Genomic DNA, 13417 nt, shown 5'->3' with positions numbered 1-13417 from the left:
AGCTATAATCCCAGATCCTCGGGAGGCTGAGGCAGGGGAATCGCTTGAACCTGGGAGGCAGAGGTTGCAGTGAGCCAAGTTCGCGCCACAGCACTCCAGCCTGGGTGACAGAGCGAGACCCTGTCTCTCAAAAAAAGTGCAACCTAAGTACAAGCCTAGTCCCACCAGCAAATAGCAGCCCATCCTTGGTTGCATAACCTGGAGGAGAGGAGCAGAGCCACAGTCAGAGCCTCACACCGCAGATTCGCCTGCCGTGATTCCACTCAGGCTAGAAACATTCCCTAAACAACTCATAAGGGAGACAGTGCACTCTAAGCACACTGAAGGGTGAGAGGAGGCTGCCCAAGGATTAAAATTTTAACCCAGATGGCCGGGCACGGTGGCTCATGCCTGTAATCCCAGTACTTTGGGAGGCCGAGGCAGGTGGATCACCAGGTCAGGAGTTCAAGACCAGACTGGCCAAGATGGTGAAACCCAGTCTCTACTAAAAATACAAAAAAAATTAGCCAGGTGTGGTGGCGGGTGCTTGTAATCCCAGCTACTCAGGAGGCTGAGGCAGAGAATTGCTTGAACCCAGGAGGCAGAGTTTGCAGTGAGCCGAGATCGAGCCACTGCACTCCAGCCTGAGCAACAGAGCAAGACTCTGTCTCAAAAAAAGAAAAAAGAAAATTTAATCCAGATGATCTGCGGGGTGAGAGGGCAGGTTGTACAAAGTTCAGTTTGAGGGGCTGTGTGTGCTCACTCCTGCCATCCATCAGGCCTTTGGGGCACGTGGGCCTGGCAGAATGAGTGACCTGTGAAACTGAATTTGTCCACAGGCCTACCCTGAGCAGTGAGTTATTAAACATCAGTGAAGAGCAAGGAAGGGTATGTTAGTCCATTTTGTGTTTCTATAAAGGAATACTGAAGCTGGGTAATTTATATAGAAAAGAGGTTTATTTGGCTCACAGTTGTGCAAGCTATACATGAAGTATGCTCAGCTTCTGATGAGGATCTCAGGAAGCTTATAATCACAGCAGAGGCTGGGCACTGTGGCTCATGCCTGTAATACCAGCACTTTGGGAGGCCAAGGTGGGTGGATAACCTGAGGTCAGGAGTTTGAGACCAGCCTGGGCAATATGGTGAAACTCCAACTGTAATAAAATTACAAAAATTCTCCTGGCATGGTGGTGGGTGCCTGTAATCCCAGCTACTCGGGAGGCTGAGGCACGAGAATCACTTGAACCCGGGAGGTGGAGGTTGCAGTGAGCCGAGATCACACCATTGCTCTTCAGCCTGGGCGACAGAGTGAGACTCTGTCTCAAAAAAAAAAAAAAAAAATCGCAGCAGAAGATGAAGGGGGAGTAGGTGTGTCACATGGAGAGGGGGGCAGAGGAGAAAGAGGGAGAGGAGGTGCCAGGCTCTTTTAAACAACCAGCTGTCACATGAACTAACAGAGTGAGACTCGCTCATCACCAAGGGGTGGCACCAAGCCATTCATGAGGGATCCTCCCCATGAGCTACACATCTCCCTCTAGGCCCCCACCTCCCACACTGGGGGTCACATTTCAACGTGAGGTTTGGAGGGGACAAACATCCAAACCATTTCAAAGAGATATTAAAGCCTGAGCAACATGGCCAAACTCCGTCTCTACAAAAAACACAAAAATTAGCCAGGTGTGGTGGCACACACTTACAGGCTCAGCTTCTTGGGAGGCTAAAGTGGGAGGATAACTTGAGCCCAGGAGGTTGAGGCTGCAGTGAGCCATGATCACACCACTGCACTCCAGCCTAAGTAACAAAGCAAGACCCTGGAAAGAAAAAAAAAAAGGAGATATTAAGATCTCTGTTCATCCAACCAAGAAAACAAAGATAGGTTTCTGTGCTCTGCACAGTGGGAGCAGTACTGCTTCTGTTCTCTGTGCTCTCCGCCCCAGGGCCAGCATTTCTCCGCCTGGGTCTGGGCTCTGGACAGTTCTCTTAGTCTCCCAAATCTTTTCCAACTCCAATTGTTATAAAAATCATTTACCAGATGTCTCCCTCAGGTTCTTTGTTCAAAAGCAACAAAAACTAACTTAAGTAACTTAAGCAAAAAGTTAACTGAGTAACTTAAGCAAAAAGGGAATGGACAACAGGAAGTGGGAGAGGCAAATGACCGAAGGCACAAAGCCCAGACTTGGAAGGGGCAGGGCCTGGGTGGCCCTTGGGGCCTGGGAAAGGAAAGTAAATGGATGTTTCATCTGGTCCTCAGTACTGAACACATCTAATCCGGCGTGAGTGGGCAGGGAATCGTGTGAGTGACTGTGTTTAAGTTTGAGTTTCTTTTTCCTTCATCCCTAGGTCTCTCCAGGCTAGACTGAAATATCAGGGAGGAAGGGTTCTAACTGCCTGGCTGGGTCACATGCTCAGCCTTGACTAGAGGAAGGCAGTGCATCCTCCTCCTTGACGGGTACTTATCATGTGCTAGTTTGAGGTCATTTCTCCAAAGCAAAGTGGGAGCAGAAGCCGAGGGCAGGAGACTGGACGCTGGGCAGAAGCAAAATCAGTGGCCGCTCCCCCAGGGCTTCTGGTCTGCCTGTTCCTTGTCTGCCTTTTTTTTTTTTTTTTTTTTGAGATGAGTTTCACTCTCGTCACCCAGGCTGGAGTGCAATGGCATATTCTCGGTTCACTGCAACCTCTGCCTCCCGGGTTCAAGAGATTCTCGTGCCTCAGGCTCCCAAGTAGCTGGGATTACAGGCACCCGCCACCACGACCGGCTAATTTTTATTTTTATTTTATTTTTATTTTTAGTAGAGATGGGGTTTCACCATGTTGGCCAGATTGGTCTCAAACTCCTGACCTCAGGTGATCCACCCACCTCGGCCTCCCAAAGTGTTGGGATTACAGGTGTGAGCCACCGTGCCCAGCCCCTTGTCTGGCTTTTTAACAAGACATTTGTCTTCCAGCAGATCCCAAACTCCAGGACAGGGACATTTTCCTCCACTTTTGTTTCCTTTGGTGGTGGACAGGGGAGGTCAGCGCCATCCCAAACATTTGGTAGCTGCATAATAAATGCTTATGGAATTGAGTTTGATCAAATCCGAGAGACAAAAAATGGAAGCGCAGAGCTTTCCAAAATACTGAAAGCATTCAGAACATCTTGGTGCTCTAGGGTAAAGTGGAAAGAGTTAAATATTTCAGACTGGCTTTGTGTTTCTGACCCCTCCTTCACCCACCCTGTGCTGGGTGTTGCTCTGTGGTGATGCAGGGTAAAGGAATAATTGGCCATATTCTGTTAAGGCATGGCATCTAAAAGTGAAGGTTTTCTTCTGAGATAAAGTTTGAAAAGGGGCTCAGTAGAGGCCAGGTATTAATTTCCATCCTGGAGGAAGAAAGGCATGGAAACTGCAGCAAGTTTGTGTTGACTTCATTAGTCTGTTGATGCTGGAGCACACGGCCTGTCCCCTTCACAACTGGAAAGAACACAAGTCCCCGCCTCAATCAAAGCCTGTGTGTTGTCTCCCAATCAATGGTGCACCTTACCTTCTATTTATTTATTTGAGACGGAGTCTCGCTCTGTCACCCAGCACCCAGGCTGGAGTGCAGTGGTGCGATCTTGGCTCACTGCAGCCTCTTCCTCCCGGGTTGAAGCAGTTCTTCTGCCTCAGCCTCCTGAGTAGCTGGGATTACAGGCGTGCGCCACCACACCTGGCTACTTTTTGTATTTTTAGTAGAGATGGGGTTTTGCCATGTTGGCCAGGCTGGTCTCGAACTCTTGATCTCAGGTGATCCGCCTGCCTCGGCCTCACAAAGTGCTGGGGTTACCACCGGCCCAGTGCACTTTACTTTCAAGCGATGACGTGCCCACTATAATTAGGGGCCATATATGTTCTCTGAGAAGTCTTCCATCAGGGCAAGCCAGTCTACATCTCGCAGTCCGCATGTGAAGTAACAAGCGTTTCTCTTTCATCTGTGAAATCAAAACCTCTGTTCGAACAGATAAACATATCGTGCTGCTTCTGTGTTGAATAACTAAAGACCAAACTTGAACTACTTTCAGGAGTCGGGAAGAATAATTGGCCAACTCATGCATCATGATACCATAGTTTTCATTCCAAAGGTACTTGAAGAACAACTTCAACCACACAAAACTCTGTTCGCTGATGACTGCCCTTTAGAAGGTGGATGTTTCCTGGGGACATTGCACAGTTGGCTGCTGCCGGAGATGGGGTGCCGCCAGGGAACATGGGGTGTCCAGGCACTCTTACACTGAGATATTTTCTGGTTGAAAAATATTTTGCAAGCAAGAAAACTGAGGCTCAGAACTGTAGAGTGACTTACTTGTATTCTGCAGAAAAGACCCTCAGAGATGGCTCAACCCTGGACATATTGTGGTATTTGGCTTTCTTTTTTAATTTAGAAATTTTTCTTAGAGAAAGACAGAGACGTCATTCCTAGCCTTGCACACAGACACCCCAAATAAACAGGCCCCACAGGAGGAGTATGGTGATCTAGAACCCAGCTTCTTGACGGAGGAGTGGGTGTCTCAGCTGATTCTGTCTGCTCAGCAGCACCCCTCACACTGTGCAAATGCTAATCATGAAGGTGAAGTTGCCCGCACTGGGCACCCCTCTGCCCTCACAGGTGGGCACCCCTCCGCCCTCACAGGTGGGCACCCCTCCGCCCTCACAGCTGGGCACCCCTCCACCCTCACAGCTGGGCACCCCTCCACCCTCACAGCTGGGCACTTCTCCACCCTCACAGGGCACCCCTCCACCCTCATAGCTGGGCACCCCTCCGCCCTCACAGGGCACCCCTCCACCCTCACAGCTGGGCACACCTTCGCCCTCGCAGCTGGGCACAACTTCACCCTCGCAGCTGGGCCCTGCTGACCAAGCTCTCCTCCCTTGTCAGAAGGTGGCTCTGTAGCTTCCTGAGATTTTGGAGAGGAAGAGAGAAGGCTTGTGGGAAAACTTCCCCTTCCCAGGCACAAGTTCAGAGCCCGTCAGCCCAGAAATGCCCCCGTGTGCCCTGGCATCCAGGGTCTCCATCTCAGAGAGGGCCTAAGGGCCAGCCCAGGGTGCCTCTGGGAGCCAAGGAAACTCCCCTGCTGCTAAGTAAATGGAAGTAGCTTGGGCTGTGGTTTCTACACGGGGGCCCCTGATCTGACCGCAGAGGAGAACAACAAACCACCCCAAAGGCGCTCCTGGGCCTGGGTTCCCAGAGTGGGGGCCAGGGCTTCTGCGTTAGACCGTGATCAGGGATTTTAGAGGTTGGATCACCTCAATGACCATCTAAAAATTTAAATCTGAAAAATAAATAAAAATTCCAATCTGATCATTCCCACTGCAACCCCCTGTGTGGTGCCCCAGTGCTGGGAGGATAAAGCCTCAGGGCCTCTCCCGGCCCTCCCCACTTTTCACCTCAGGAAGGAGTCTCGCTCTGTCACCCAGGCTGGAGTGCAGTGGCGCGATCTCAGCTCACTGCAAACTCCGCCTCCTGGGTTCACCCCATTCTCCTGCCTCAGCCTCCTGAGTAGTTGGGACTACAGGCACCCGCCACCACATCCGGCTAATTTTTTTGTATTTTTCTTAGTAGAGACGGGGTTTCACCATGTTAGCCAGGATGGTCTTGATCTCCTGACCTCATGATCCACCTGCCTCGGCCTCCCAAAGTGCTGGGATTACAGATGTGAGCCACCGCACCCGGCCAAGACTTCATAGTCTTAAAATGGCAGTACTCCTCAAATGGATCTACAGATTCAAACACAAGCCCAATCAAAATCCCTGCTCTTTTCGCAGACATTGACAGATCTGAATTTTAATATGGAAATAAAAGGGAGCCCCCCCCAATCAAAACAATCTTATAAAAGAAGAACAAAACTAAGACCTCACATTTTCCAATTCTGAAAGTTACTGCAAAACTACAATAATCAAGACAGTGTGATACTGACATAAGGATAGCCATATAAGTCAATGGAATAAAATTCAGGTTCAGAAATAAACCCATACAGTTATGGTAAATTGGTTTTTGACAAGAGCACCAACATTATTCAATAAGGGAAAGAATTGTCTTTTCAATAAATCGTGCTGGAACAACCAGATATCCACATGTAAAAGAGTAAATTTGGGCCAGGTGCAGTGGCTCACGCCTGTAAGCCAGTAGAAACCCCGTTTTTAGTAGAAACCCCGTCTCTACTAAAAAAATACAAAAAAAAATTAGCCGGGTGTGGTGGCGGGCACCTGTAGTCCCAGCTACTGGGGAGGCTGAGGCAGGAGAATGGCATGAACCCGGGAGGCGGAGCTCGCAGTGAGCTGAGATTGTGCCACTGCACTCCAGCCTGGGCAACAGAGCGAGACTCCATCTCAAAAAAAAGAGTAAATTTGGACCCCCACCTAATACCATATACAAAAAATTAATTCAAAACGGATCACAGACCTCATCCGAAGAGCTAGAGCTGCAAAATTATTAGAATAAGACATAGCTATAAATCTTCACGACCTCAGATTACGCAATGGTTTCTTAAGTACACCACCCAAAACACAGGTGACAAAAGAACAAATTAGATAAATTGAACTTCATCAAAAACATTTGCAGCCAGGCGTGGTAGCTCATGCCTGTAATCCCAGCACTTTGGGAGGCCGAAGCGGGAGGATCATTTGAGGTCAGGAGTTCAAGACTAGCCTGGCCAAAATGGTGAAAAACCCCATCTCTACTAATAATACAAAAATTAGCTGGACATGGTGGCAGGTGCCTGTAATCCCAGCTACTCAGGAGGCTGAGGCGGGAGAATTGCTTGAACCCGGGAGGCGGTGGCTGCAGTGAGTCAAAATCGTGCCATGGCACTTTAGCCTGGGCAACAGGGCGAGATTCCATCTCAAAAAAAAAAAGAAAAAAATTTGCACCTCAAGGAACACTGTCAATACAGTGAAAATGCACAGAATGGAAGAAATACTTGCAAATTATATATCTGATAAGATACGTGTATCTAGAATGTATAAATAACTTTTTTGTTTGTTTGTTTTGAGATGGAGTCTTGCTCTGTCACACCCAGGCTGGAGTGAGGTGGCGCAATCTCGGCTCACTGCAACCTCTGCCTCCTGGGTTCAAGCGATTCTCCTGCCTCAGCCTTCTGAGTAGCTGGGAGTACAGGCGCCTGCCATCACGTCTGGCTAATTTTTTGTATTTTTAGTAGAGATGGGTTTTCACCATGTTGACCAGGCTGGTCTCGATCTCCTGACCTCAGGTGATCCGCCCACCTCAGCCTCCCAAAGTGCTGGGATTACAGGTGTGAGCCACCGCGCCCAGCCATAAATAATTCTTACAACTCAATAATGAAAGAAAAAAAAAAAAAAACCCAAGTAACCCAATTTAAAAATGAGCAAAGAATCAGAATTCTTCAAAGATGGACAAATGGCCAATAAGCACCTGAAAAGTTGCTCAACATCATTAGTTATCAAAGAAATGCAAATCAAAACCACAGTGTAATGCCACTTCGCATACACTGGGATGGCTAGCCTCAAAATGACAGATATGAAAAAGAAACAAAAGGGAGATGTGGAGGATGGGGAGAAATGGAAACCTCATACATTGGTGGTGAGACGTAAAATGATGCACATTTTGTTTGTTTGTTTGTTTTTGAGATGGAGTCTCGCTCTGTCGCCCGGGCCAGAGTGCAATGGCGCTATCTCGGCTCACTGCAAGCTCCGCCTCCCGGGTTCACGCCATTCTCCTGCCTCAGCCTCCCGAGTAGCTGGGACTACAAGCGCCCGCCACCACACCCGGCTAATTTTTTGTGTTTTTAGTAGAGACGGGGTTTCACCGTGTTAGCCAGGATAGTCTCGATCTCCTGACCTCGTGATCCACCTGCCTCGGCCTCCCAAAGTGCTGGGATTACAGGCGGGATTACACCGCGCCCGGCCGATGCAGCTGTTTTAGAAAACGGTTTACTAGTTCTTCCAAAGGTTAAACATAGAGTTACCAGCATGACCTAGCAATTCTACTCCTACTTCTACACCTAAGTGAAATGGAAATGTACGTCTACACAAAAACTTGTACAAAAATGCACATAGCAGCATCACAATAGCCAAAGAGTGGAATCAGGCTGATGCCCATCTACTGATGAGTGGATGAGTGGATGTGGCACCCACGCAATGGAATATTAGTGGCCATAAAGTTGGATGAAGTGCTGGTACAGGCTACCACATGGAGGAACCTTGAAAACATTGTGTTAAGTCAAAGAAGTCAGTTATAAAAGACCTCATGTTGTATGAGTCCATGTATGTGAAATGGCGGGAACAGGTAAATCCATGGAGACAGAAAATCCTAGGGCCGGCCGGTAGGGGATGTTTTGGAAAAACTCAAACCTGTATTTCTTTTGTTTTCATGCCACAACAATCAACACAGACTTCTGTGACCAAGGGGGGCGGTTTCCCTACCAACAAGCAGTAGGCACCAGCTGGGTCTGATACTACCTGTGTGGAGCTAGGGTCAGTTCCCACAGGTAGAGGGCTCAGTCCCTAAGACTGCCTCTTCCTGCAGACACCAGTCACAAGTCCAGGCCTCTGGAACTTCTGACCAACCAGCTTTAAGCTGGGGGGTCTCACAACCCCCTCTTTGGGTTGAATTAATTTGCTAGAGCTGCTCACAGAACTCGAGGGAAAACTTAAGTTTACCAGTTGATTATAAAAGATATTGTAAAGATACAGATGAAGAGATGCATAGGGTGAGGCACGTGGGAAGGGGTATGGAGCTTCCATGCCCCCCGCAGGTGCACCTGCCTCCAGAAACCTCCTTGTGGTCAGCTGTCTAGAGCTCTCCAGCCCAATCCTCTTGGGGTTCTTTTTTCTTTTTTTTGAGACAGAATCTCGCTCTGTCGCCCAGGCTGGAGTGCAGTGGCGTGATCTTGGCTCATTGCAAGCTCTGCCTCCCGGGTTCACGCCATTCTCCTGCCTCAGCCTCCCGAGTAGCTGGGACTACAGGCGCCCGCCACCACGCCGGGCTAATTTTTTTTGTATGTTTTAGTAGAGACGGGGTTTCACTGTGTTAGCCAGGCTGGTTTTGATCTCCTGACCTCCTGATCCGCCTGCCTTGGCCTCCCAAAGTGCTGGGATTACAGGTGTGAGCCACTGCACCTGGCCATCTGTTCCAATTCTTTTTTCCCTTTCTGTGTAGCATTCTTTTCTCCAAGGTATGAGGCAGGACCCTCTGTAGCAGGTAAAAGGAGGGTAGGAGAAGGTCAAAGAGGGCTTTGGGAGTTATGAATCAGGAACTGTGGATGAATATATATATATATGTATAATGTGTGTGTGTGTGTGTGTGTGTATATATATATATATATATTATCATGAGGGGAAATAGGGAGTGATTGTTAATGGGCATGGAGTCTCTTTTTTGGGAGCATTTAGAAAAAAGTGCTCCTAAGTGGACTGTAGTGATGGTTGCACATGTCTGTAAATATACTACTAACTTCCGAATTCTGTGCTTTAAATTGGGAACCGCATGCTATGGGATCTATCTCTCAGACAACTTTTTTTAAAATCACACATTCCAACACACACATACTTCCCGAGTGTCGTAGGGGTGGGCGGCCTCTCAGCATGACAGCTCCACTCTATGACTGCGCCTTCATTCAAAAACCATGTGGCCCGCCAACGACGCGCCAGATGATGTGGGAGATGGTGACATGGTCAGGACCCAGGCCTGGCCTTTCTGAGACTCCTAGTCTGTTTGGAGAAGCAAATGAATACCCAAATACCTCTGCCAGAAGAGGAACTGTGGGTGCTCATGACAGGAATGGCACAAAGTGTAAGACAAAATGATGAAAGGAAAAGCTGGAAACCCCAACCAGTCCTTCCTCCTGGGGAGGAGGTGAGCCTGGGGCAGAGGGTGGTGGCGTTCGGCAGGGATGTTTCTTCTCCCTCCTTTGGGGGGTCACTGAATGGACAGGTGAACTGACGGGTGCCTGTTGAGGGCCTGCTGAGGCCCAGCCCATGGGTGATGGGCGCCCTGGGGGATGCAACGAGCGCCGAGGCACAAACTGTGGCACCTGGGACTCTAAGCCCACCAGGAAGGGATCAGGGAGAAGCTGACGCCCAGAGTGAATGGTCCGCAAAGGCAGCAGGGGCGGGGCGCTGGGTTGTGCACCCAGAATGGCAAGTGCTGTCGGAGAGCTATGTCCTCGTCAGCTTCTGTCCAGATTGTGCTGTGAAAGCCCGCTGTGCTGGCAGATGCCTGCTGGGCACGTCCTCGTGGACATGCACGCAGCGCTGTGCGGCATTCATGGTTTGAGCCTGGGGTAGGGAGGAGATGTTGGGCCTGCAGCTCAGTCCCTGAGAGCTGGCTTCCTCCTTTCTTGGGGGTCCATCTGAGGCAGGTCTGTGGAAGTCTGAGGTTTAGAGAGCTCTTACTGCCCCATGGGGGAACGGCGACAGCCCAGGGCGTCTGGCACCTTTGCTGGGGAGGAGGCCTGAGAAGAGGGGTGGGAAGCGCCGGTCCGGGATGCCAGCCCCTGCCCGCCTTCTGGAGGCTTTCCCTACCTCACCTCCATCCCCAGGCTCCTGAGCCCTCCTTGCTCTCTCAAACTCTGCTCCAAAGAAGGCAGCTCATCCCCAGGCCCCCAGCACCACCAGAGTTTCCCCACCTGGGAAAGGGTGGCTCAGGGAATAGCGTCCTCCCAACACCCATGTCAATGAACACAGAGCGGCAAAGGGCCAGCCCCACTGGAGTGAGTTCGCCCATCAAAGGTGGAAATGCAAGGGCTGCGTTAGGGCTGGGGAAAGGGGCATTTTAAGCCTCATCTTTCATTCTAAAAAGAAAGTCTTCACCCCAAGTTAAAATTGTACTTCAGGTGAAGGACTTACCTATTGGGGAGCACACTGAGGCTTCCTAATAAAATCAGAGAAGCCCGCCTAGTAAAAGGCTACCAGGAGCCTGATCTCCTCTCTTAAACCTAACCTCCCTTCCCACTGGGGAAGAAAAGCCCAAGTTTCTTGAGTAAAAGGCTCAGATCCCAGCACTTTGGGAGGCTGAGGCGGGCGGATCGTCTGAGGTCAGGAGTTTGAGACCAGCCTGCCCAACATGGGGAAACTCTGTCTCTAAAAATATAAAAATTAGTCAGGCGTGGTGGCAGGCACCTGTAATCCCAGCTACTCAGGAGGCTGAGGCAGGAGAATCGCTTGAACCTAGGAGGCTGAGGTTGCAGTGAGCTGAGATCTCGGCATTGCACTCTAGCCTGGGTGATAAGAGCAAGACTCTGTCTGAAGAAAAAAAAAGAAGGAAGGAAGGAAGGCTCAAAGGGGAAAAAGCAGACCTGCAGGAAACCCCTCCAGCCCAATCATGACTCCTAGGACCCTTTATAACTCCTGTGAGAGGCTGGAGGATACCCGACCCAGCAATGTGACTTGCTTCCTTCCACACAATTCTGAAACTTGTGACTTGGTCTGAAGGAAGATGGTACCACGATGCCTCTCCGTCCTCCGTCTCCTCCCCACCCTTAGCCTGGTGCCATTTTTTCTACCTGGGCGCCCATCCTTTCTTGCCTAGCCAGTGCCTGTCCCTCCTACAGGAAGCCTCCTCCAGCAGTCCAGTTCTCTGCTAGAAACCACAGAAACCAGCTCTGGCTGATTTAGGTAGAAGTGGAATTCATCACATCAGGTGCACACATTCTGGGAGGAAGGGACCCAGGCTGGGAGGCTGGACATCCTCCGCAGGACTGGTCTGGCAGGGAGGAAAAGTGCTGCCACCACTGCTGGGCACAGATACCCAAGTGCACCCCAGCCCCACTCACATGGCCTGCCAGAGCAGTTGCCACCTGGGATGCCTCCGAATCAGGCTGAGGCTGCCCACGCTCCTGCACCTGCTTTCTGAGTGGCGTCTGCCTGGCAGGGTTGAGGTCCCCCACCCCTCACTGTAGAAACAAGGGGGTCTGGCACAGTGAGTGCCTGGCATTTTCAGTGTCTCTGGTGGGGGATTCCTCAAATACAGGAAAGGAGATAAAGATCCCAGATGACAGATGGCATCCTCCCACGAGTGAGGCCATCTAACTCTGCTCTTTCCTCTTTCTTTCTTTCTTTCTTTCTTTCTTTCTTTCTTTTTCTTTCTTTCTTTCTTTCTTTCTTTCTTTCTTTTTCTTTCTTTCTTTCTCTTTGTCTCTCTCTCTCTCGCTCTCTTTCTTTCTTTCTAAATAAAAATAGAGACAGGGTTTTGCCATGTTGCCCAGGCTAGTCTTGAACTCCTGAGCTCAAGTGATCTGCCCACCTCGGCCTCCCAGAGTGCTGGGATTACAGGTGTGAGCCACCGCGCCCGGCCTGCCCGCACTCTCTCTGCTGCCTGCCTTCCCTGGCCCACACAATCTCTGAGTCTGATAACAGGCATTCAGGCTGTATCAGTCATTCAACGCATATTTGAGGGCCCAGGCCAAGTGCCAGGGTCTCATCCTTAGAAGAGTGTCCTGTACACATCACTTAAAACTCCGCTTCTCTCTGGGCAAAGGGTCAGCGCCCTTAGACTGCAACAAAACAGAGGCATTATGCAAGTTCCTAGATACCTCTTAAAAAGGAAGGCCTGGTGGGCTGAGGACCAGCGTAATAGCTGCCAGGCTCCTTCAGCATCAGGGACATTCCAACCGTCCCTCACACTGTAGTTCATTCGAAAATAACTTCCTAGAATAGACAGTGCTGTCAGCATCTTTCTGCTGACCATAGACTACTCTGGGCGGTATTTTGAAAATGAAACTGATGTATCAAAAGCTTGCAACAGGAAGCAGCAAGGTTGACTTGACTGCCTTTCCTTGTGGGGAGCCCTGGGCTGTGGGGAGCCCTGGGCTGTGACCCAGGGTCATGAGAGTGGGTCCCCTGGGCAGGCAGCAGGGACCAAAAGCTTAGTTCTCTGTTCCCCCACTGTCCCACTGAATGGCCACATAACCCTGGGCAAGTCGCCTGGGTCTGTTTCCACGTCTGTGGAACAAAGCTGGTGTTCGGTGCTCCCAACACAGCGGGTTAGAGGACCACAGTGGGCAAATAAAAGGCTACCAAGGGACATTCTCTCAGCGTTGCTAAATGGTTAGAGTTAATAGTGCGTTTGGCCTGGATTGAAACAAAACTAAACAACCCTCCACTTTTACTAAAGAAAATGAGGGCTCACCCAAAATAAGTAAACCCAGTCTCTGGAGTGAGTAAAAGCCCTTTTTTCTGGGTATTTTCACTGCTCTCTTAAGAAGGGCCTGACCCATCGCGCTCAGGGGAAATAAGCGCTGGGAGGAAATAAGGAAAATCGAACCGCGGTTTTAGGTCCGGGCTCTGGCAGGCACCGCCTCCGCCCCGCCTCGCCCCGCCTCGCTCCGCCCTGCGGCCCCCGCCGCGGCCCCGCGAAGGATCCGCCAATGAAGCGCCCAGGAACTGCATGACCTCATCAGGAGGCTCCCTCATTGGCTGCCGCCGCCGCGCCTGGTCGCCTCGTT

General features: G+C 50.3%; 1 annotated feature.

The window, feature by feature from the left end:
• Positions 13140-13399: a silencer, noted in NCBI's record as "silent region_6014". NCBI's record gives its function as "represses an Ori minimal core promoter by ATAC-STARR-seq in GM12878 lymphoblastoid cells {active_cell/tissue: GM12878}" and the evidence as "EXISTENCE:reporter gene assay evidence [ECO:0000049][PMID:35858748]".

Source organism: Homo sapiens, chromosome 14, assembly GCF_000001405.40.
Source record: "Homo sapiens chromosome 14, GRCh38.p14 Primary Assembly".
Classification (NCBI taxonomy): Eukaryota; Metazoa; Chordata; class Mammalia; order Primates; family Hominidae; genus Homo; species Homo sapiens.
This window is presented reverse-complemented; position numbering and strand designations above follow the sequence as displayed.